Source organism: Homo sapiens, chromosome 5 (assembly GCF_000001405.40).
Source record: "Homo sapiens chromosome 5, GRCh38.p14 Primary Assembly".
Taxonomy (NCBI): domain Eukaryota; kingdom Metazoa; phylum Chordata; class Mammalia; order Primates; family Hominidae; genus Homo; species Homo sapiens.
Window position 1 is genome coordinate 67,769,259 of NC_000005.10, and position 23,531 is coordinate 67,792,789.

Below are 23,531 nucleotides of genomic sequence, written 5' to 3' on the forward strand. Positions count from 1 at the left end.
ATATGAACGTTTTGCAAATCACCTAAGCCTTTGAGATCTTACCTAGAAGCTCTAGTTAATGGAGATATCAAAGTAGCTCAGCCGGGCTTCTAAAGATCTTTAGAGGAAGGTGTGAAGCTTGATGCAATGGAAAAATAACAAAAAGCAAAAGCATTCGACTAAGGCAGGCAGAAAGGTGTCTGGCAGTGTCCTGTAAATATATCTGTGAAAGTTTTAAAACACTTATTTTATTGTGAAATCTTTTTATAATGTTAAAGTAGCCTTCAAGGTTAGTTTTAAATGTTGACATAAGTTTTCGTTTTTGTTTGTTTGATCTTTTTTCCAAATACACTATCTTAGAAAATTCACTAATTACCATGTGCTCCAATGTAAACCTAGTTACCATCAGAAGTTAAGAATTCTGGCCAGGCATGATGGCTCACGCTTGTAATCCCAGCACTTTGAGAGGCTGTGTGTACTAGTCCGTTTTCATACTGCTGATAAAGACATACCAGAGACTGGGTAATTTAAAAAGAAAAAGAGGTTTAGTAGACTCACAGCTCCATATGGCTGGGGATGCCTCACAATCATGGCAGAAGGTAAAAGGCACGTCTTACATGGCAGCAGGCAAGATAGAATTGAGAGCTAAGTGAAAGGGGAAACCCCATATAAAAACATCAGATCTCATGAGACTTATTCACTACCACAAGAACAGTATGGGAGAAACTGCCCTCATGATTCAATTATCTCCCACAGAGTCCCTCCTACAACATGTGGGAATTATGGGAGCTACGATTCAAGATGAGGTTTGGGCCGGGACACAGACAATCCATATCACCAAGGCAAGTGGATCACTTGAGGAGTTTGAGACCAGCCTGGCCAGCATGGCGAAACCCCGTCTTTACTAAAAATACAAAAATTGCCTGGGCATGGTGGTACACAGCTGTCATCCCAGCTACTCAGGAGCCTGAGGCAGAAGAATCACTTGAACCCGAGAAGTAGAGGTTGCAGTGAGCTGAGACAGTGAGCTGAGATTGCACCACTGCACTCCAGCCTGGGTGAAGAGCAAGACTCTGTCTCAAAAAAAAAAAAAAAAAAGAAACAAAGAAAAGAAAAAGAAAGAATTCTTATTAGTAAAGTAAATGTGGTTCAAGGTTAAAGCTCACTGCCCACCCCTGCCTCTGGCCCAAACACATACATAGGGACCTGTGTGGCTTCAGAGCAAAAAACCTCTAACAAAGGCCAGCAGCAGAAGTGTTTGGACAATGTTGTACGCAGTGTCAGAGTTCAGCAGTTGGAAAGATTGTTTCTTTGCCATCAAATATTTTAAATTTCTGGCAGGGGTGGAGTGAGAGGTGGAGAAGCAAGGAGTCATTCCCTGCTTCTCCTTTCTGCCTGGTAAACTCTGGCAGGGTGAGCCTGGAAAGCACTCAGCCTGTACCCTGTACCTGCACTGAACATGAGCCAACGTGTGGGGTCTAGAATGGGAGTGAAGGCAGAGGAGGTGATGGGTGGGGCAAATCCAGGCTCCTTCCTGGCTGCAGCAACCTCCGGGCTTACCCCTCTACCTCCTACATCTTTTGTGCTCAAGGTTCACTTCCCTTTAGTGACTATTTAGCAGATCTCTTATCTTCAGAGTCTTATGACACATTCCAGGAAACACTGGCCTTTCATGCCATCCACCTCTTGCGACATTTTAGACTAGTTCTCAGAGCATGATGTCTGCTGTCCTATCTCCCCTTCCTCTAACTCACCATTTTCTACTTTTTTTTTTTATCTTGAGCTCGCATTGTGTTTAACATTAACATTTAGACAAAGAGAAACGTTTCAGCTTTTTGACTGCAGTTATCAGGGTTTTGAACACAAGTCAGTTAAACTTAGTAATCATTTATGGAACACCTGCCCTATGCTAGGAGCCTCAGTAGGTGCTCTGGTGTCAGATGTACCACATAACACTCAGGTGGGGGAAAAACAAACTAGAAAATGCTGGCCTTTCTTCCACGTACAAACTGGGTGACATAAATATTTAAATGGCCAGATATTCCTAAAAGACAAATTGGTAACAGAGTATATATAAATTTTTCTTTGTTCTCAAAAGTCATGCTGGTGATCTATTTGCATTCTGATCCTATTACACCCCAAGTGGACGTTTGATAAAAACAAAGCCAAGAATAAATGGAAATCACAAAAAATCTTGCCAGCTCTTTGCTTCAGATCTCTGGCTACTCATCTTACAGTGATGACTTGGGCCAAGGCTTCCTTCTGAGACATTTTATTAAATGTGTTCAGTAATTCACTTTTGCCCCATTAGAAGCATGGATCCTGAGATTTAATCTATCTTACTCATAGAGAATATTTGACCATTAAATACCTAAAAGTGATCTAGGTAGAAGAAAACAGGAACCATTGAAAATACAACATGAACATAATTTCACATTAAATCTGAGATGGATTTGGGTGGGTATTTGGGAGGTCGGGAGTGGCTGGTGCCAAAGGAAGAAAGGGAAAAAAGAAGAAAAAGGATGGTTTCTAACCTCCTGGTTAGAAACAAAAACCCTGGAAGGGAGGGACACATATCCATCTAACCAGCTTCTGCCTGTGCCATCTCTATCACCCGTTTCTAAATTCTCTCCAAAATATTCACGCCTACTTTTGGTGTGAGACTTGTGTAAGAAGGTTATGTTTACCATTTTATTTTTACTCTGTGAGAAGGTTATTTTACCTTGTGTGACTGACACAACAGCTGTCAGTGCTCTGGAAGAGGCAGACGCCTTCCGTGACAAGTTAAATGGCCACCTCTGGCCATCTAATCCACAGTCCTTTCCTGACAAGGAAACATCACGGGTAGCTAACGAGGTGATCAGAGTAGGAGTTGAATAACAGTAAGAAAGAATTGGAGACAGTTTAGGGGGATGGAATTGACTTGTAAGACTTAAAGATATGGATGCAAAAGAAGAGAATCTTTTGCAATGGAGAATACAGACATAGTTTGCTCCTGAGAGAAACACAGCTGAAGAGGAATTATAAATGATTGACTAGAGTACCATAATGATGTGAAGCAGCCCTGGCAGTCAGCATGGAAAGAAGGAAAGGAACCGTAGCAGCATTGTAGGAAAAAAAAAAAAAGGATTCCAAAATAGGTTCCAATATGGCTCTCAGGGTCTGATGTGGCTCCTTTCCTAGCTGTGTGATCCTGGAGAAATCATTTAGCCTCTCTGAAATTCACTCAGCTTCAATATTTTCATCCACAAAATAAGAATACTAGCTGGGATAATCTTTCAGCTACCTTCAACTCTAAAATTATTATCTTCCTCTTACCTTTTATGATTCTAAAATCTTGGGAGGAAGAGTTGGGAAAGTATTCACTAAAATCTAAAACTAAACAGCTTCAATTTTCACCAGTGATCATTTACACAGTACAGGAGGGCAAGAGGGAGGGTGTCTGCATTGAGTTAGTTTTGTTGATGCAATGAACAGTGCAGAGGGCAGGGGAGCAGGTAGGATATTCCTTCCTTCCACTATCTTTAAAAATAATAACAATACTACCTTATAGTTGTATTCTGTGTTATTCTTTTAGAAATTCTTGCAAATCCCTTGCCGTCTTTGATATTTATAGCAATTAGGTGAAATGGGCAAGAAAGTTTTTTCGTTTTTGTTTTTGTTTCACCAATGACAAATTCAGAGAGTTTAAATGAGTTTCTTAGAGTTGTAGAGCTGGTTAATGATAGGGCTGGGACTAGATTTTTGGTCTCTAGAACACTGGGGTTGGGTATTTGCTTTTGGGTACCTTTTGGAACAGTCTTCCCAGCAGTATCCAGAAACATGAGGAAGCTGCCTGGTTGTCACAATCCCAAATGACCTCAAAAAGAGGATGCAGCTTCTCAGATTGGACTGTATTTGTCTTTGGTCAACTCATAAGTATCTTTTGGTAAGAGCCTCCAAAATAGGGTGTAAACACCCTGGAGGTATACAAGGTGATGCATTAGGGTGCAGAGGAAAAATACTAAGAAAATTGCTATTTGCATTCATTTTTCATCTTTTTAAATCTAATTTTTGTGTGTTTTATGTTACATAATATATTAGCATAAAGTATCAGAATAGGCAGTACATGAGGATAACTTACAAATGGGGTATATGTTGTACTGATTTAATCCATGATCAAAACTATTTCAAGACTATGTTTTAGAAAATTGAGGGAAAGGCCTGAAGGGTGAATCATATGGCTGTTAACAGGAGTCTTCTCTTGCTCTTATCCCCTAAGATGACTCAGGGAAAATGGGAAAGGTTGTGGAAAAGACCAGGTTCAATCAGAATCTTGAAGAACATCCAGAGAAGTAGATGAGCAAATGGAACAGCTCTGACCAAATTAGGGCGGCCGGTCACATGCTTCCCACCAACACAAAGGTCTCTTTGTTTTCTGCACACACACTGCAGTTCTTTGTCAATTATAATCAACGATTCCATTCAGCTCTTCTTGCCACCACTTCTCTCCTGTCTTTCTAGTCTGCTGGGCAATAAATGTAAGGTAAAACTTCACAAGACCTTTAAAAGATAAGGTTGAAAGAGAAAAATACATCCTAATCAATGAACCTACCCAGAGGAAATAACTGGGGGATTATTCATAACTTACAACTTAGTTGCCAACTAATTTTTGGTGTTGAAGATCATTGTACTATACTGGGTAAGTTTACAAAACAGAAAAGGAATAATGGTGAGGAGAAAAATTATTACCTCTTGTCTATGGACTCCAGGAAGTGCACCCAAGATTATTAAGTTATTAACACAGAGACAAAGAAGGAGTGGTATGTAATATCAGATAAGTAAGTACTCTTTCTACAGTGGCAAGTAGAAAGTCATCTCTCAGGGTTAATATTTGGGACTTTTCAAGGAAAGAGAGAGCTGTAGAAGGGGTAAAAGGTTTCCTTACACATACAAATATTATAGGGCAAAAGGAGCCAACCTAAGGATTTTGCTCACAGTATGCCTGTGTCATTAAACCACTTTCTTTACTTGCAATTGTTGGCAGACATCAAAGCCACTGGATCACTGTTATGATATTTCATAACAGCACAGACCATAGGCGTCGTCTCATGCAATTCTGGTGTGCCTAACACAGTCCTGCCAGGAAGGCATCTGAAGGCTTCCAAGCCTGAGCTTTCTGAATTTTGAGTGTGGTACTGTGGAAAGTGCTGGATTTGAGGGGTGAAGGGAGGCCAAGGTCTTTGGTTTCTTGTTCCACTTCTGTCATTAAATTCCTTGGGTGGACTTCTTAATCTCATTTTATAGAGCAAATTCATTATAGAGAAAATTATGAGAAAGTTTCTTTCTCATCTGTGGCATTTATTTATTCATCAAACATTGTTGTATTTCCTATGTTTCAACACAATATTAAATGCCAGAAATACTAGTATTTAAAAAATACTTTTTCTCAGAGGGCACACAGTCTAAATAAAAAGATAAGACACATACAATTATGGTTAACTCAGTATAGAGCAATATATGAATGAAGACAAACAAGTGATATCTTAGTAAATGCTATTAAACGTCTTAAAGGAAAAGAAAAAGTTATCTTGTAATGCAAAAAAAAAAAAAAAAAACCCCACAAAGTTATCATGGTTTCCCTCTGGCATCCTCTTCCGCTTTGCTTTGTTCTGGCACCCATCTTTGCTGGATCCCATTGGCGTACAGATGAGAAGAGTAGAAAAGAGCACACAGCTTAAAATCACAGAACTGTGACTTCTCCTTTTTTCTCTATTCTAGAGTGTGCCTGCAGCATGCATTCATTACTGCATCTGATGGAAGCACAAAGGGAGAGACAAAGATGCAGAGAACAATGGTAAACAATTGGTGAAATGTGTTGGCAAATTGAGTCCAATGCTGTCTGTAACAAATGGCAGCTATTTTGTGTGTGTGTCATCTAAATAAAAATAAGGTGGATTAACAAACAACTGTATCTGGCCGAGGGAAGACTGCCGCCATTTTCTTAATAAATCAGTTATTGTGTGATTTATAATAAACTATTTGGACTACTTTCCTACCATGTATTTCCAGTAGAGGGATTTAGAAAGCTAATTTTAAGGCCAGGCATGGTGGCTTATGCCTGTAATCGCAGCACTTTGGGAGGCTGAGGCGGTTGGATCGCTTGAGGTCAGGAGTTTGAGACCAGCCTGGCCAACATGGTGAAACCCCATCTCTACTAAAAATACAAAAATTAGCTGGAAATCACTTGAACCTGGGAGATGGAGGTTGCAGTGAGCTGAGATCATGCCATTGCACTCCAGCCTGGGAGACAGAGCAAGATTCAGTTTCAAAAATAATAGTAATAATAGTAATAATAATAATGATAATAATAATAATAATAATAAAGGAAAGCTATTTTTTTTTTTTTTGAGATGGAGTATCACTCTGTCACCCAGGCTGGAGTGCAGTGGTGCTATCTCAGCTCACTGCAACCTCTGCCTCCCAGGTTCAAACGATTCTCCTGCCTCAGCCTCCTGAGTAGCTGGGATTACAGGCATCCAACACCATGCCCGGCTAATTTTTGTGTTTTGTATTGTTGGTCAGGCTGGTCTTGAATTCCTGACCTCGTGATCTGCCTGCCTTGGCCTCCCAAAGTGCTGGGATTACAGGCGTGAGCCACCGAGTCTGGCCAAGGAAAACTAATATGAACAATCACTATGGTGACACTATTTTCTAACTAAAATATGCTGATACATGGTTTAATAAAACTCACTTTTCTCTGGCCTTCAACTCTGTCTATACACAGTATCCTCTAAAAGTCTAAGGGTTAAAACCTACCTGGTGAATTACATACCTGAAAAGACCAAAACTTTCTAAAACGTATAATATCTAAAAATCTAAGACATGGAGTATTATTCTTATTACTCTTTGCATTTTTTAATTTAATGTAGCCTAAATCAATTAGAATTCTGATAATTTGAAAAGAAATGTGAATCAGTCAATTATTGTTATGTTGTGTTGTTTGTTTCTGATTGTATACATGTATGAAATTTTCATTATTACCTCCTTTCTTTTCCTTCATTTCTGGATTGGATTCATTTATTAAATTTCTGTTCTTTTAATGGTTGTTTTCAAAAGCTTAGCCTACAAACTTAACTATAAAATCTTATCAAAGCCCGAGTTTATTAAATATCTTTACCCTTCTCCCAAATCAAGCAAAAAACTAGCTACTAAACAACTTCTACTTACTACCCTCCATTTTTCTTCTATTATTACTATAATTAATATTAGTTACCAAAATCTTCTTAATAGTAGTTAAATATAATAACTGTTCTACAAAATATAGTGCTATAAAAGTTTCTCCAAAACTTAGTGGCATAAGAAATCAGTATTTTGTTCACGGATTCTGTGGGTTAAGAATTTAAGCAGAGCATTTTAGAAAGTTTTGTGAGTCAGTGCATGCATGTATCTGTGTGTGTCTAATATTTGTGGGTACATAGTAGGTGTATTTATTTATGGAGTATATGAGATATTTTTATACAGGCACACAATGCATTTATCCTTTTTTGTGTGTTACAAACAGTCCAATTATACTCTTTTAGTTACTTTAAAATGTACAATAAATTATTGTTGACTATTGTCACCCTGTTGTGTTATCAAATACTAGATCTTCATTCGATCTAACTAATTTTTGTACTCACTAACAATCCCTACTCTACCCTGCCTCCACCACCCCACTATTCTTTCCAGCCTCTGGTAACCATCATTCTACTCCCTATCTCCATGAGTTCAATTGTTTTAATTATTTAGCTCCCACAAATGAGTGAGAACATGCAAAGTTTGTTTTTCTGTGCCTGGTTTATTACACTTAACATAGTGACCTCCAGATCCATCCATGTTGTTGCAAATGACAGGATATCACTGTTTTTTATGGCTGAATAGTACTCCATTGTGTATATGTACCACATTTTCTCTATCCATTCATCTGTTGGTGGACACTTAGGTTACTTCCAAATATTAGTTATTGTGAATAGTACTGCAGTAAACATGGGAGGGCAGATATCTCTGCAGTATACTAATATCCTTTCTTTTAAGTATATACCTATCAGTGGGATTGCTGAATCGTATGATAGTTCTAATTTTAGTTTCTTGAGGAACCTCCAAACCGTTCTGTATAGTGGTTGTACTAATTCCCACCAACAGTGTGCAAGGGTTCCCTTTTCTGCACATTCTCGCCAGCATTTGTTATTGCCTGTCTTGGATAAAAGCCATTTTAACTGGGGTAAGATAATAGCTCATTGTAGTTCAATTTGCATTTTTTCTGATGACCATTGATATTATATATTCTGGTTATTAATCCTTTGTCCCTGGATACTTTGCAAATATTTTCTCCCATTCTGTGGGTTGTCTCTTCACTTTGTTGATTGTTTCCTGCCCTGTGCAAAAGCTTTTTAATTTGATGTGATCACATTTGTCCATTTTTGCTTTGGTTGCCTGTGCTTTTGGGGTACTACTCAAGAAATATTTGCCCAGCCCAACATCCTGGAGAGTTTCTCAATGTTTTCTTTTAGTAGTTTCATAATTTGAGGTCTTAGATATAAGTCTGTAATCCATTTTGATTTGCTTTACGTATGTAGTGAGAGATAGGGTTCTAGTTTTATTTTTCTGCATATGGATATCCAGTTTTCCCAGTACAATTTATTGAAGAGACTGTCCTTTTCTGAATATCTGTTCTTGGCACATTTGTTGAAAATGAGTTCGCTGTAGATGTACAAATATTTTTCTGCATTGTCTGTTCTGTTCCATTGGTCTATGTGTCTGTTTTTATGCCAGTACCATGCCATTTGGGTTATTGTAGCTCTGTAGTATCATTTCAGTCAGGTAATGTGATTCCTCTAGTTTTGTTCTTTTTCTCTGGATAGCATTGGCTGTTCTGGGTCTTTTGTGGTTCCATATGAATTTGAGGATCATTTTTGCTATTTCTGTGAAGAATGTCATTGGTATTTTGATTGAGGTTTCATTGAATCTGTAGATTGCTTTGGGTAGTATGGGTATTCTAAGTAGGGAGAGTTTATCTCTGTCCCACATTTTAAAAGGTCTCCTGGGAATGTGGCCATTGGCTGAGGGCCTCAGTTTCTCTTTTTGTATTTTTTTCCATGTAGTTTCTCTGTGTAGGCTACTTTGGGCTTCCTCACAGCATGATGGCTATGTTCTCAAGGCAAATGTACCAAGAATGAGACAGGCAAACAGAAGCCGTATTGCCTTAGCCTTGAAATTCATACAGTACCACTTTCATAGTGTCCTACTCATTAGAGCAGTTCCATAGTCTCCCAAACTTCAAGGCTGGAGAAAATAGACTCAATCTCTTGATGTGTATGTGACAAGGTTCTACAATAGCTTAGACTGAAAATGTTGCTGTGATGGCATTGGTAAAAACTACTTTAAAGTTCATATGGAACCAAAAAAGAGCCTGCATTGCCAAGTCAATCTTTTTTTTTTTTTTTTTTTGAGACGGAGTCTCGCTCTGTCGCCCAGGCTGGAGTGCAGTGGCGGGATCTCGGCTCACTGCAAGCTCCGCCTCCCGGGTTCACGCCATTCTCCTGCCTCAGCCTCCCAAGTAGCTGGGACTACAGGCGCCCGCCACTACGCCCGGCTAATTTTTTGTATTTTTAGTAGAGACGGGGTTTCACCATTTTAGCCGGGATGGTCTCGACCAAGTCAATCTTAAGCCAAAAGAACAAAGCTGGAGGCATCACGCTACCTGTCTTCAAACCATATTACAAGGCTACAGTAACCAAAACAGCATGATACTGGTACCAAAACAGAGATATAGACCAATGGAACAGAACAGAGGCCTCAGAAGTATTGCTGCATATCTACAACTATCTGATCTTTGGCAAACCTGACAAAAACAAGAAATGGGGAAAGGATTCCCTATTTAATAAATGGTGCTGGGAAAACTGGCTAGCCATATGTAGAAAGCTGAAACTGGATCCCTTCCTTACACCTTATACAAAAATTAATTCAACATGGATTAAAGACTTAAATGTTAGACCTAAAACCATAAAAACCCTAGACGAAAACCTAGGCAATACCATTCAGGACATAGGCATGGGTAAGGACTTCATGTCTCAAACACCAAAAGCAATGGCAACAAAAACCAAAATTGACAAATGGGATCTAATTAAACTAAAGAGTTTCTGCACAGCAAAAGAAACTACCATCAGAGTGAACAGGCAACCTACAGAATGGAAGAAAATTTTTGCAATGTACGCATCTGACAAAGGGTTAATATCCAGAATCTACAATGAACTCAAACAAATTTACAAGAAAAAAACAACCCCATCAAAAGGTGGGCGAAGGATATGAAGAGACACTTCTCAAAAGAAGACATTTATGCAGCCAAAAGACACATGAAAAAATGCTCATCATCACTGGCCATCAGAGAAATGCAAATCAAAAACACAATGAGATACCGTCTCACACCAGTTAGAATGGCAATCATTAAAAAGTCAGGAAACAACAGGTGCTAGAGAGGATGTGGAGAAATAGGAACACTTTTATACTGTTGGTGGGACTGTAAACTAGTTCAACCATTGTGGAAGTCAGTGTGGCGATTCCTCAGGGATCTAGAACTAGAAATGCCATTTGACCCAGCAATCCCATTACTGGGTATATACCCAAAGGATTATAAATCATGCTGCTATAAAGATACATGCACACGTATGTTTATTGCGGCACTATTCACAATAGCAAAGACTTGGAACCAACCCAAATGTCCATCAATGATGGAGTGGATTAAGAAAACGTGGAGGTGGAGCCAAGATGGCCAAATAGGAACAGCTCCAGTCTACAGCTCCCAGCGTGAGTGACGCAGAAGACGGGTGATTTCTGCATTTCCATCTGAGGTACCAGTTCATCTCACTAGGGAGTGCCAGACAGTGGGCGCAGGACAGTGGGTGGAGAAGAGTGGATGCAGGGCACCGTGTGTGAGCCGAAGCAGGGTGAGGCATTGTCTCACTCGGGAAGTGCAAGGGATCAGGGAGTTCCCTTTCCTAGTCAAAGAAAGGGGTGACAGACGGCACCTGGAAAATCGGGTCACTCCCACCCTAATACTGCACTTTTCCCATGGGCTTAAAAAACGGCGCACCAGGAGATCCTATCCCGCACCTGGCTGGGAGGGTCCTACACTCACGGAGTCTCCCTGATTGCTAGCACAGCAGTCTGAGATCAAACTGCAAGGCAGCAGCAGGGCTGGGGGAGGGGCGCCCGCGATTGCCCAGGCTTGCTTAGGTAAACAAAGCAGCCAGGAAGCTCCAACTGGGTGGAGCCCACCACAGCTCAAGGGGGCCTGCCTGCCTCTGTAGGCTCCACCTCTGGGGGCAGGGCACAGACAAACAAAAAGACAGCAGAAACCTCTGCAGACTTCAATGTCCCTGTCTGACAGCTTTGAAGAGAGCAGTGGTTCTCCCAGCATGCAGCTGCAGATCTGAGAACGCGCAGACTGCCTCCTCAAGTGGGTCCCTGACCCCTGAACCCTGAGCAGCCTAACTGGGAAGCACCCCCCAGTAGGGGCAGACTGACACCTCACACAGCCGGGTACTCCTCTGAGACAAAACTTCCAGAGGAACGATCAGACAGCAGCATTGGCGGTTCATGAAAATCCGCTGTTGTGCAGACACCGCTGCTGGTACCCAGGCAAACAGGGTCTGGAGTGGACCTCCAGCAAACTCCAACAGACCTGCAGCTGAGGGTCCTCTCTGTTAGAAGGAAAACTAACAAACAGAAAGGACATCCACACCAAAAACCCATCTGTACATCACCATCATCAAAGACCAAAAGTAGATAAAACCACAAAGATGGGGAAAAAACAGAGCAGAAAAACTGGAAACTCGAAAAAGCAGAGTGCCTCTCCTCCTCCAAAGGAACGCAGCTCCTCACCAGCAATGGAACAAAGCTAGACGGAGAATGACTTTGACGAGTTGAGAGAAGAAGGCTTCAGACGATCAAACTACTCCAAACTACAGGAAGAAATTCAAAGGCAAAGAAGTTGAAAACTTTGAAAAAAATTTAGACGGATGTATAACTAGAATAACCAATACAGAGAAGTGCTTAAAGGAGCTGATGGGGCTGAAAGCCAAGGCTCGAGAACTACGTGAAGAATGCAGAAGCCTCAGGAGCCAAGGCGATCAACTGGAAGAAAGGGTATCAGTGATGGAAGATGAAATGAATGAAATGAAGCGAGAAGGGAAGTTTAGAGAAAAAAGAATAAAAAGAAACAAAGAAAGCCTCCAAGAAATATGGGACTATGTGAAAAGACCAAATCTACGTCTGATTGGTGTACCTCAAAGTGAAGGAGAGAATGGAACCAAGTTGGAAAACACTCTGCAGGATATTATCCAGGAGAACTTCCCCAATCTAGCAAGGCAGGCCAACATTCAGATTCAGGAAATACAGAGAACGCCACAAAGCTACTCCTTGAGAAGAGCAACTCCAAGACACATAATTGTCAGATTCACCAAAGTTGAAATGAAGGAAAAAATGTTAAGGGCAGCCAGAGAGAAAGGTCGGGTTACCCACAAAGGGAAGCCCATCAGACTAACGGCAGATATCTCGGCAGAAACTCTACAAGCCAGAAGAGAGTGGGGGCCAATATTCAACATTCTTAAAGAAAAGAATTTTCAACCCAGAATTTCATATCCAGCCAAACTAAGCTTCATAAGTGAAGGAGAAATATCCTTTACAGACAAGCAAATGCTGAGAGATTTTGTCACCACCAGGCCTGCCCTACAAGAGCTCCTGAAGGAAGCACTAAACAAGGAAAGGAACAACTGGTACCAGCCACTGCAAAAACATGCCAAATTGTAAAGACCATCGAGGCTAGGAAGAAACTGCATCAACTAACGAGCAAAATAACCAGCTGACATCATAATGACAGGATCAAATTCACACATAACAATATTAACTTTAAATGTAAATGGACTAAATGCTCCAATTAAAAGACACAGACTGGAAAACTGGATAAAGAGTCAAGGACCATCAGTGTGCTGTATTCAGGAAGCCCACCTCACGTGAAGAGACACACATAGGCTCAAAATAAAGGGATGGAGGAAGATCTACCAAGCAAATGGAAAACAAAAAAAGGCAGGGGTTGCAATCCTAGTCTCTGATAAAACAGACTTTAAACCAACAAACATCAAAAGAGACAAAGAAGGCCATTACATAATGGTAAAGGGATCAATTCAACAAGAAGAGCTAACTATCCTAAATATATATGCACCCAATACAGGAGCACCCAGATTCATAAAGCCAGTCCTGAGGGACCTACAAAGAGACTTAGACTCCCACACAATAATAATGGGAGACTTTAACACCCCACTGTCAACATTAGGCAGATCAATGAGACAGAAAGTTAATAAGGATACCCAGGAATTGAACTCAGCTCTGCACCAAGCAGACCTAATAGACATCTACAGAACTCTCCACCCCAAATCAACAGAATATACATTTTTTTCAGCACCACACCACACCTATTCCAAAATTGACCACATAGTTGGAAGTAAAGCTCTCCTCAGCAAATGTAAAAGAACAGAAATAATAACAAACTGTCTCTCAGACCACAGTACAATCAAACTAGAACTCAGGATTAAGAAACTCACTCAAAACTGCTCAACTACATGGAAACTGAACAACCTGCTCCTGAATGACTACTGGGTACATAACGAGATGAAGGCAGAAATAAAGATGTTCTTTGAAACCAATGAGAACAAAGACACAACATACCAGAATCTCTGGGACACATTCAAAGCAGTGTGTAGAGGGAAATTTATAGCACTAAATGCCACAAGAGAAAGCAGGAAAGATCTAAAATTGACACCCTAACATCACAATTAAAAGAACTAGAAAAGCAAGAGCAAACACATTCAAAAGCTAGCAGAAGGCAAGAAATAACTAAAATCAGAGCAGAACTGAAGGAAATAGAGACACAAAAAAGCCTTCAAAAAATTAATGAATCCAGGAGCTGTTTTTTTGAAACAATCAACAAAATTGATAGACCGCTAGCAAGACTAATAAAGAAGAAAAGAGAGAAGAATCAAATAGACGCAATAAAAAATGATAAAGGGGATATCACCAATGATCCCACAGAAATACAAACTACCATCAGAGAATACTACAAACACCTCTACACAAATAAACTAGAAAATCTAGAAGAAATGGATAAATTCCTAGACACATACACCCTCCCCAGACTAAACCAGGAAGAAGTTGACTCTCTGAGTAGACCAATAACAGGCTCTGAAATTGTGGCAATGATCAATAGTTTACCAACCAAAAAGAGTCCAGGACCAGATGGATTCGCAGCCGAATTCTACCACAGGTATAAGGAGAAACTGGTACCATTCCTTCTGAAACTATTCCAATCAATAGAAAAAGAGGGAATCCTCCCTAACTCATTTGATGAGGCCAGCATCATCCTGATACCAAAGCCAGGCAGAGACACAGCCAAAAAAGAGAATTTTAGACCAATATCCTTGATGAACATTGATGCAAATATCCTCCATAAAATACTGGCAAACCGAATCCAGCAGCACATCAAAAGGCTTATCCACCATGATCAAGTGGGCTTCATCCCTGGGATGCAAGGCTGGTTCAATATATGCAAATCAATACATGTAATCCAGCATATAAACAGAACCAAAGACAAAAACCACGATTATCTCAATAGATGCAGAAAAGGCCTTTGACAAAATTCAACAACCTTCATGCTAAAAACTCTCAATAAATTAGGTATTGATGGGACATATCTCAAAATAATAAGAGCTATCTATGACAAACCCACAGCCAATATCATACTGAATAGGCAAAAGCTGGAAGCATTCCCTTTGAAAACTGGCACAAGACAGGGATGCCCTATCTCACCACTCCTATTCAACATAGTGTTGGAAGTTCTGGCCAGGGAAGTTAGGCAGGAAGAGGAAATAAATGATGTTCAATTAGGAAATGAGGAAGTCAAATTGTCCCTGTTTGCAGATGATATGATTGTATATCTAGAAAACCCCAATGTCTCAGCCCAAAATCTCCTTAAGCTGATAAGCAACTTCAGCAAAGTCTCAGGATACAAAATCAATGTACAAAAATCACAAGCATTCTTATACACCAATAACAGACAAACAGAGAGCCAAATCATGAGTGAACTCCCATTCACAATTGCTTCAAAGAGAATAAAATACCTAGGAATCCAACTTACAAGGGACGTGAAGGACCTCTTCAAGGAGAGCTACAAACCACTGCTCAATGAAATAAAAGAGGACACAAACAAATGGAAGAACATTCCATGCTCATGGGTAGGAAGAATCAATATCATGAAAATGGCCATATTGCCCAGGTAATTTATAGATTCAATGCCATCCCAATCAAGTTACCAATGACTTTCTTCACAGAATTGGAAAAAACTACTTTAAAGTTCATATGGAACCAAAAAAGAGCCCACATTGCCAAGTCAATCCTAAGCCAAAAGAACAATGCTGGAGGCACCACGCTACCTGACTTCAAACTATACTACAAGTCTACAGTAACCAAAACAGCATGGTACTGCTACCAAAACAGAGATGTAGATCAATGGAACAGAACAGAGCCCTCAGAAATAACACCGCATATCTACAACTATCTTATCTTTGACAAACCTGAGAAAAACAAGCAATGCGGAAAGGATTCTCTATTTAATAAATGGTGCTGGGAAAACTGGCTAGCCATATGTAGAAAGCTGAAACTGGATCCCTTCCTTACACCTTATACTAAAATTAATTCAAGATGGATTAAAGACTTAAATGTTAGACCTAAAACCATAAAAACCCTAGAAGAAAACCTAGGCATTACCATTCAGGACATAGGCATGGGCAAGGACTTCATGTCTACAACACCAAAAGCAATGGCAACAAAAGCCAAAATTGACAAATGGGATCTAATTAAACTCAAGAGCTTCTGCACAGCAAAAGAAACTACCATCAGAGTGAACAGGCAACCTACAAAATGGGAGAAAATTTTCACAACCTACTCATCTGACAAAGGGCTAATATCCAGAATCTACAATGAACTCAAACAAATTTGCAAAAAAACAAACAACCCCATCAAAAAGTGGGCAAAGGACATGAACAGACACTTCTCAAAAGAAGACATTTATGCAGCCAAAAAACACATGAAAAAATGCTCACCATCACTGGCCATCAGAGAAATGCCCATCAAAATCACAATGAGATACCATCTCACACCAGTTAGAATGTCAATCATTAAAAAGTTAAGAAACAACAGGTGCCTGAGAGGATGTGGAGAAATAGGAACACTTTTACACTGTTGGTGGGACTGTAAACTAGTTCAGCCATTGTGGAAGTCAGTGTGGCGATTCCTCAGGGATCTAGAACTAGAAATACCATTTGACCCAGCCATCCCATTACTGGGTATATACTCAAAGGACTATAAATCATGCTGCTATAAAGACACATGCACACGTATGTTTATTGCCGCACTATTCACAATAGCAAAGACTTGGAACCAACCCAAATGTCCAACAGTGATAGACTGGATTAAGAAAATGTGGCACATATACACCATGGAATACTATGCAGCCATAAAAAATGATGAGTTCATGTCCTTTGTGGGGACATGGATGAAATTGGAAATCATCATTCTCAGTAAACTATCGCAAGAACAAAAAACCAAACACCACATATTCTCACTCATAGGTGGGAATTGAACAATGAGAACACATGGACACAGGAAGGGGAACATCACACTCTGGGGACTGTTGTGGGGTGGGGGGAAGGGGGAGGGATAGCTTTAGGAGATATACCTAATGCTAAATGACGAGTTAATGGGTGCAGCACACCAGCATGGCACATGTATAGATATGTAACTAACCTGCACATTGTGCACATGTACCCTAAAACTTAAAGTATAATAATAATAAAATAAAAAATAAAAAAAAAATTTAAAAAAAAATGTGGCACATATACACCATGGAATACTATGCAGCCATAAAAAATGATGAGTTCATGTCCTTTGTAGGGACATGGATGAAGCTGGAAACTATCTTTCTCAGCAAACTATTGCAAGGACAAACATCCAAACACCGCATGTTCTCACTCATAGGTGGGAATTGAACAATGAGAACACATGGATAAAGGAAGGGGAACATCACACACCTGGGCCTGTTGTGGGGTGGGGGGAGAGGGGAGGGATAGCATTAGAAGATATACCTAATGTTAAATGATGAGTTAATGGGTGCAGCACCCCAACATGGCACATATATACACATGTAACAAACCTGCACGTTGTGCACATGTACCCTAAAACTTAAAGTATATTAAAAAAAAAAAAAAGAAAAAAAAGGAAAATGTTGGTGTGATGCTACTGAACAAATACAATCTGTCACACTAGCATACTTTACTCATTTCCACAATTGCCCTTATTGTTCATGTCTCAAGCTTTTCCTCTGGATTTCCTTTTCTTCAAGAAGCATGTCAATTAGTGGTTATCAACAATGGTTACGAATGATAAAGCATTTTAAACGTTATGTCTTACACTTGAATAATAGCTTAGCTTATCATAGAATTTACATTGGCAGTTATTTTTATCATCAACATCAAAAATATTCCATTGATTTTAAACATCTACTAATGTTGATAGAAGTCTACTTTTATTCTAATTGTCATCCAGTCTTCATTTTATACTTGATGTATAAAATATCAATTGAATTTTAAGATCTGGATTTAATTCTTCCTACACAGGGCATTTTAAGTCTAAGAAATAATGTATTTATTTAATTCTGGACAGTTTATTTTTATTTTTTGTTTTTTAGTATTGCTTCTCTCTCATTTCTTCTCTTCTCTCCCCTTGGGGCTCCTGTTGTATATTATAAAACCCTCACAACTTATCCTATACATTTCTCAACTGCTCTGGTACATTTTTAATGAATTTTTCTCCCTGTATTGTGTCCCAGATCAATTTCTTAGCACTGCGTTTAACTTACTAATTCTCTGTTTGATTGTTTTTGTTTAGTATTTGAGGGAGGAGGTATTCTTCCTTTCATTATCACTTTAAGCTTCCTCAATGCACTAATTTTAAACTAAATTTCAGATTGTTGTAGTGTTTTAGTCTTTAGGTAAACTTATCTCCCAGTTGCTGATTTTGTTAGCATTTGTCTTTATCTTATGTGTAGGATTTTTGTTTGAAGACTCATTTTGAGTGGCAGTATATTTTTTTTTCCTTCTTTTGAAAAACTATCCTGCCCTGTCTACTAGTTTCATAGTCACTTCTACCTTTCCTCAGGATCCAGAATTTATATCGGGCTTTCTATTGGATACCCAGGTCATGTGTGCTCAAAAATATTGAAAACATTACCTATCTAGGCCTTGAGCTAGTAAACAGTTTTGCTTAACTTTTAGCATTGAGATTCTATTTCTCCCTCTCGTCTCTCTATGCACTTAGCTTTATAGATGCTGTAGCCCAAGACAACAGTAGCAGTTTTATTTCACCCCTTGTGTACATTTGAGGCCCACCTATTCCAGCCTCTGACTTCAGGAAGTAGCCAGGCTCCAGCCTCCTATCTCCCAGGCTTAACAATAGGCAATTTTAGTTCTCATCTCCCCACAGGCATCAAGACCCTTAGTGCCCTCTGCTAGTTACTAGATTCACAGCCCCAAACATCCCCAGCTCAATGCCTCTCAACTTTAGCTCAGCTATTCTAATACTTCTGGTCCATGAAAATGTCTCACATTTTTAAATCATAACTATGTTTTCAAAATTTTTTTATCATTGTTACATGTTTACAATATTTGGAATGACAAAATTACGAATCTATAATTCTATCCTGACTGGAAACATGAGTTTACCTTTAATGCTCTATCTTCTTAATTCATTAAGCAGTCACCAGAGATAACACAAGTAAATATTAAGGCAAAAAAGAAAAGATGAGGATCATGTAAGCAGTGTAAACCCAACATCTCAGTTATTTTTATTCTATCCCTACTCTCTCATAATAGCTGAAGAAGAACAAGATTGCATAGCATTCTTTACATTAATTGTAGAATTATGTAATTCATGTGTCATATACTAAATTCCCAAGAAGAGCCCAATGACACGATGAGAATTCATGTCTAACTAGTTCTCCACCAGGGAAACATTCACGCTGGTACTAAGTACTTTCTTGTATTACAAATGCTTTTAATCCTTATAATGTATTTTGGGATTTTCTATTTCTAAATTTTTTCTGTTACAAATTATATAAGCCGAGTAGGTAAAATGGCAGAGACTGAGTCAATTCTTTAGGTTTAGATAGGTTTATTTTCTCGATGCAAGAGATACTGAATATTCAGATTTCTTCTTTATTTCTTCTGAACTCAAAGGTCTAAACCAAAAATAAAATTCTAAGCCCCTCAACAACTGAATGGACTCCTCTTCTCATCCAAGGGGATTCCAAAAAACAGGAAAAACTAGTTCAGGCCATGACATAAGATGGGGGTCGGACATGCCTTACTGTACTCTCTCCATTGTGGAGTTTAAACACAACTGACCAGCATTAAAATTAAAATAGAAATTCTTAGACTGATGGAACAGACTCTTTGTAGCAATGAGATACCAACTCCAACCTGACTCTGAGTCCCCATCTCAAAGGTCCCCAGTGCAATGGCTCTGGTGTAACATCACATGACAGATAAAGAAGGAAATCAAAATATTTTACCTCAAAATATGTTTCTTTGCCCTATTCTTAAATGACCCTGCAAAGTTGTCCTTTGTGGGGAAAATTTGCATCTGTAAAGCATTTCTATTAACTAGATCTTTCCCCTTCCAGGCCCTCCCAATCCTGAAGAAATTAACTAGAGTCTAGCACTTTTTAAAGGTCTAAATAGAAAACATTTGCATCTATTGTCTCTTATGGTGACCACCTATGGGACTTCCTATGTATAATAAGAACCTTGGTCTCCATAACACTTTATCTTAACCCAGACACTCCTTTCTATTAATTCCAGATCCTTAGGTAATAACTTAACTCTTTCAACCAATTGTCAATCAGAAAATCCTTGAATCCACCTATGACTTGAAGCCCCCATCCTCTTCTGCTTCGAGTTGTCCCACCTTTCAAATACCTCACATGTATTGAATAATGCCTTATGTTCCCCTAAAATGTATAAGATCAAGCTGTAATCCAACCACCTTGGGTATGTGTCCTCAAGACCTCTTGAGACTGTGCCTTGGGCCATGGTCACTCATATTTGGCTCAGAATAAACCTCTGTAAATATTTCACAGTTTGACTGTTTTCATTGACAATGGAAAGCTAGTATACACATTTTTTGCTTGGTAGGAAAATAAAGTTTTGTTTTTTTCTGTTTTTTAAGCAATATATAAACGTAATTTTAAAAATCAAACAGTAAAATAGATTACAGATTGAAAACTAAATCTCTCTCCCACCCTAGACAGCTAGTTCCTCTCCTTATAGGCCATATTTCCTTACCTTGCTTTTCCACTTTAATATATTTAGAGGGTTTTCTATATCAACATATATAAATCAACCCTCTTATTTTTAATAGCTGTAGAGCATTCTGTTTTACAAGTGTACTGTAATTTATTTCATCTGTCTCTTATTTATAAGACTTTAAGATTCTTATAAATTAGGTATAAGATACTTTATTTCTAGACTTTTGCTACTACAAACCATAATGCAACAAATATCCTTGTAGATAAAATTTTGCTCACATATGCACATTTATTGAGAAGTGCTAAGCCAAACTGCCCTTTGTTGAGGCTGTACTGAAATAAATCTTTTAAAACAAATGCATCGTTTTCCTAAACTGGAAACGTTAAAAATTTGGCACTATTGCCTAAATCTACAACCAATTCTATTTCCACTTTCTTCAAGTTTGTAACAACCATATTTGTGCATGTGGGACTCAGGTCTGCATCTGGATTTTGAGGTAATATTTAAAAGATTTTAAAAAGATAATTTATATTAAGTATTTTCTGAACAACTTATTTTATTAAAAAAATAAAATCTTGGTCAAGTATACACAATTTGATTGTATGGGAGATGATCAGAATTGGGATTAACCTTCTAAATATATTTGCCCCATAGTTTTGATGGTTGGCCAATCTCTGGCCTCCTTATCCATTCTTATGTTTATATATTTTAGAACTTCCAATATTTTCTTCAGACTACTGGAGTTACTTGACACAAAATGTTTTTCCCTTTTGATGCAGCTCAGAATGGCTGTATTGCACACAATCCTCTTCTGAGGCCCCATTCCTGAAAGAAAGCAGGCCATGCTGGTCTCAGTATTTGCATGGAAGGTGAGCACTGACTTCAAGCCTGGGTGAGGTATGCCAGTGCCCTGAGAAAATGCCTGAATCAGCACCTCTGTGACAGCACTGCCCCAATCTGGTCGTCGCTCAGGAAGCCTGCATGTAGGACTTCAAGAAGAGAGTCAGCAGGAGTGGCAAAATCTCTGGCAACAAAGAGGGTGAACAAGTCGCTGAGTATTGGAGGAGTAACCAACATATACCTTATGCTAGGAGAGTTCAGGTCATGGGGCCGGTGCTGTGGCATCTTATGAACAACTCTCTGGTCCTTGTGGCCTGGCTGGGGAGCTCATAGGGTGGTCTCTTATTCTCTCCTAATATGCTCAATAGGTAAATTAACTTAAGCATAACTGTGTTCCTGCAACCTGAAGGGAACTGGCTCAGTACCCTTAGCAAACAGGAAAACATTTAATCACTCAACAGACAGCAATTAAGTGCCTGGACGTGCAGGGTGTTGGAGACCCATAAGTGAATAATTCATGTGTCATGTACTAACTGCCCAAGGAGAGTCCAATGACATGATGAAAGTCCACATCTAACTAGATATCCTTCAGAGAAATATTCACTTTGGTACTTGCAAATGTTTTTAATGCTTATAATATACTTACAAATTTTCTATTTCTAAGTTCTTCCTGTTACAAATTATACAAAACAAGTAGGTAAAATGGCAGACAATGTCCCTAATCTCATGGAACTTACAATCTTATGAAAATGGGAATAATTTTTTAAAAAATTTAAGAAAAATTCTAAATAGTGCTAAGTGCTTATAGATAATTAGAAGGTGGTAATGAGACAGTAACTGGGTGACTACCTGAGATTAGTGAATCAGGTAAATCTCTATGAAGAGGTAACACCTAAACTGAGACCCAAATGACAAGAGGGATCCATTTGAGAATTAAGGGAAGTGTATTCTAGAAAAAGAGACCAGATATCAGAAAAGCCCTAAGGTAGGAATGTTTATGTTGAAGAAACAGACAGTTGGGTAAAGGGCAAGATCTTATGACAGGAGGTTGAAAAACAGACTGGGACTGATTTTATAGGGCTTTGCATATACCACTAGGGATATACTACTTGGTGAGAAGCTATGTGACATTTATAAGCAGAGGCTGATGTGGTATGATTTATGTTTTCAAAAGCTCATTCCTCACTCAAAAGTGCATGGAGACCTGGGGAGACAATCATGGGAAGAGCAGGTAGATCAGTTATGAAGCTACCACAATAGTCCAGGTGCAAAATGATGGTGCCTTAGGTGAAGGTGGCTGCAGTGTGGGAAGAGAAACATTTGGGATCTAGGATATGCTTTGTAGGGAGAATCCTTAAGACTTGTTGCTGAATTGACTGTTGGGAGATGAATTGTAAATTTTCTGAAAGGATCAAGGGAAAATACACACTGAAGTCTAATTTTTCCTGGACGCTTTAAACCAAAGAATGTCACTTTCTTTTTTATTGAATCACTACATCCCATTGAGAAACAGGTGTAAACACACTGAACCCATTGTTAAGCAGTATTCTCCTAGACTTGGCTTTCTGAAGCAACAAGGAAAGATTAGAATATGTACAATGCATTTTAGATTAGAAAGCACTTTATCTTATATGCCAGGTGTCTGAATGTATCTATCCCATGTGCCTTATATCTCATTGAGTGTAAAATGGTAGACGTGAGAGTGGTAAGGGCAGAGAGTTGGTTCCTGTAAGTCTAGGAGAAATTTAGGGGCATTTCCATAGGTAAGATAATGTGAGTTCTTCTATCAGCCTCTATTTCACCATTTTGTACTTTACTGGGTTGTCTGTGCTCTCTCGTCCTGTGTCCTATGAGAACTGCCTGAAGACAAAGCTTGAGTGCATTTTATTCACCATGAGTATATGTATGCGGTGTTGCTAAATGAGTGAGTGTTTGAGTGAATGAGTGAGTGAGTGAATGAATCCTGAGTAGCTAGTCCTTGGTCAATTCTTTCCTTTGAACAATACAAGTTCTCTAACCTCAACTCTTCTTCTTTGTTCTGAGATTGGCCTTTTGCCCCAAATAACTTTTCAGCTATTGGCTCTAAATCTCAGTTTCTGCATGTTCATTCTTAGTCTGAGCCTCCCCTTAATTACTGCACTTTTTCCTGCTTCCATCATGGTGGATGTCCATATAGGATGGACATGCACATAGAACGTTTGTGAAAAATCCAACATTAAGATAGGAAACATTTGTTCTCAGAAAGTTTTCAGGTTAGACACTCTAAATTCTACCATTATT

The 23,531-nt window shown here is 39.1% G+C and overlaps 3 annotated features.

Annotated features, from left to right (window-relative positions):
- Positions 4,923–5,217: a silencer, noted in NCBI's record as "tiled region #2346; K562 Repressive non-DNase unmatched - State 23:Low". NCBI's record gives its function as "represses a minimal TATA promoter and a strong SV40 promoter by Sharpr-MPRA in K562 cells {active_cell/tissue: K562}" and the evidence as "EXISTENCE:reporter gene assay evidence [ECO:0000049][PMID:27701403]".
- Positions 10,454–11,086: an enhancer, noted in NCBI's record as "NANOG-H3K27ac-H3K4me1 hESC enhancer chr5:67075540-67076172 (GRCh37/hg19 assembly coordinates)". NCBI's record gives its function as "activates a minimal SCP1, AML or CMV promoter by ChIP-STARR-seq in primed H9 embryonic stem cells {active_cell/tissue: H9 hESC(primed)}" and the evidence as "EXISTENCE:reporter gene assay evidence [ECO:0000049][PMID:30033119]".
- Positions 11,087–11,717: an enhancer, noted in NCBI's record as "NANOG-H3K27ac-H3K4me1 hESC enhancer chr5:67076173-67076803 (GRCh37/hg19 assembly coordinates)". NCBI's record gives its function as "activates a minimal SCP1, AML or CMV promoter by ChIP-STARR-seq in naive and primed H9 embryonic stem cells {active_cell/tissue: H9 hESC(naive and primed)}" and the evidence as "EXISTENCE:reporter gene assay evidence [ECO:0000049][PMID:30033119]".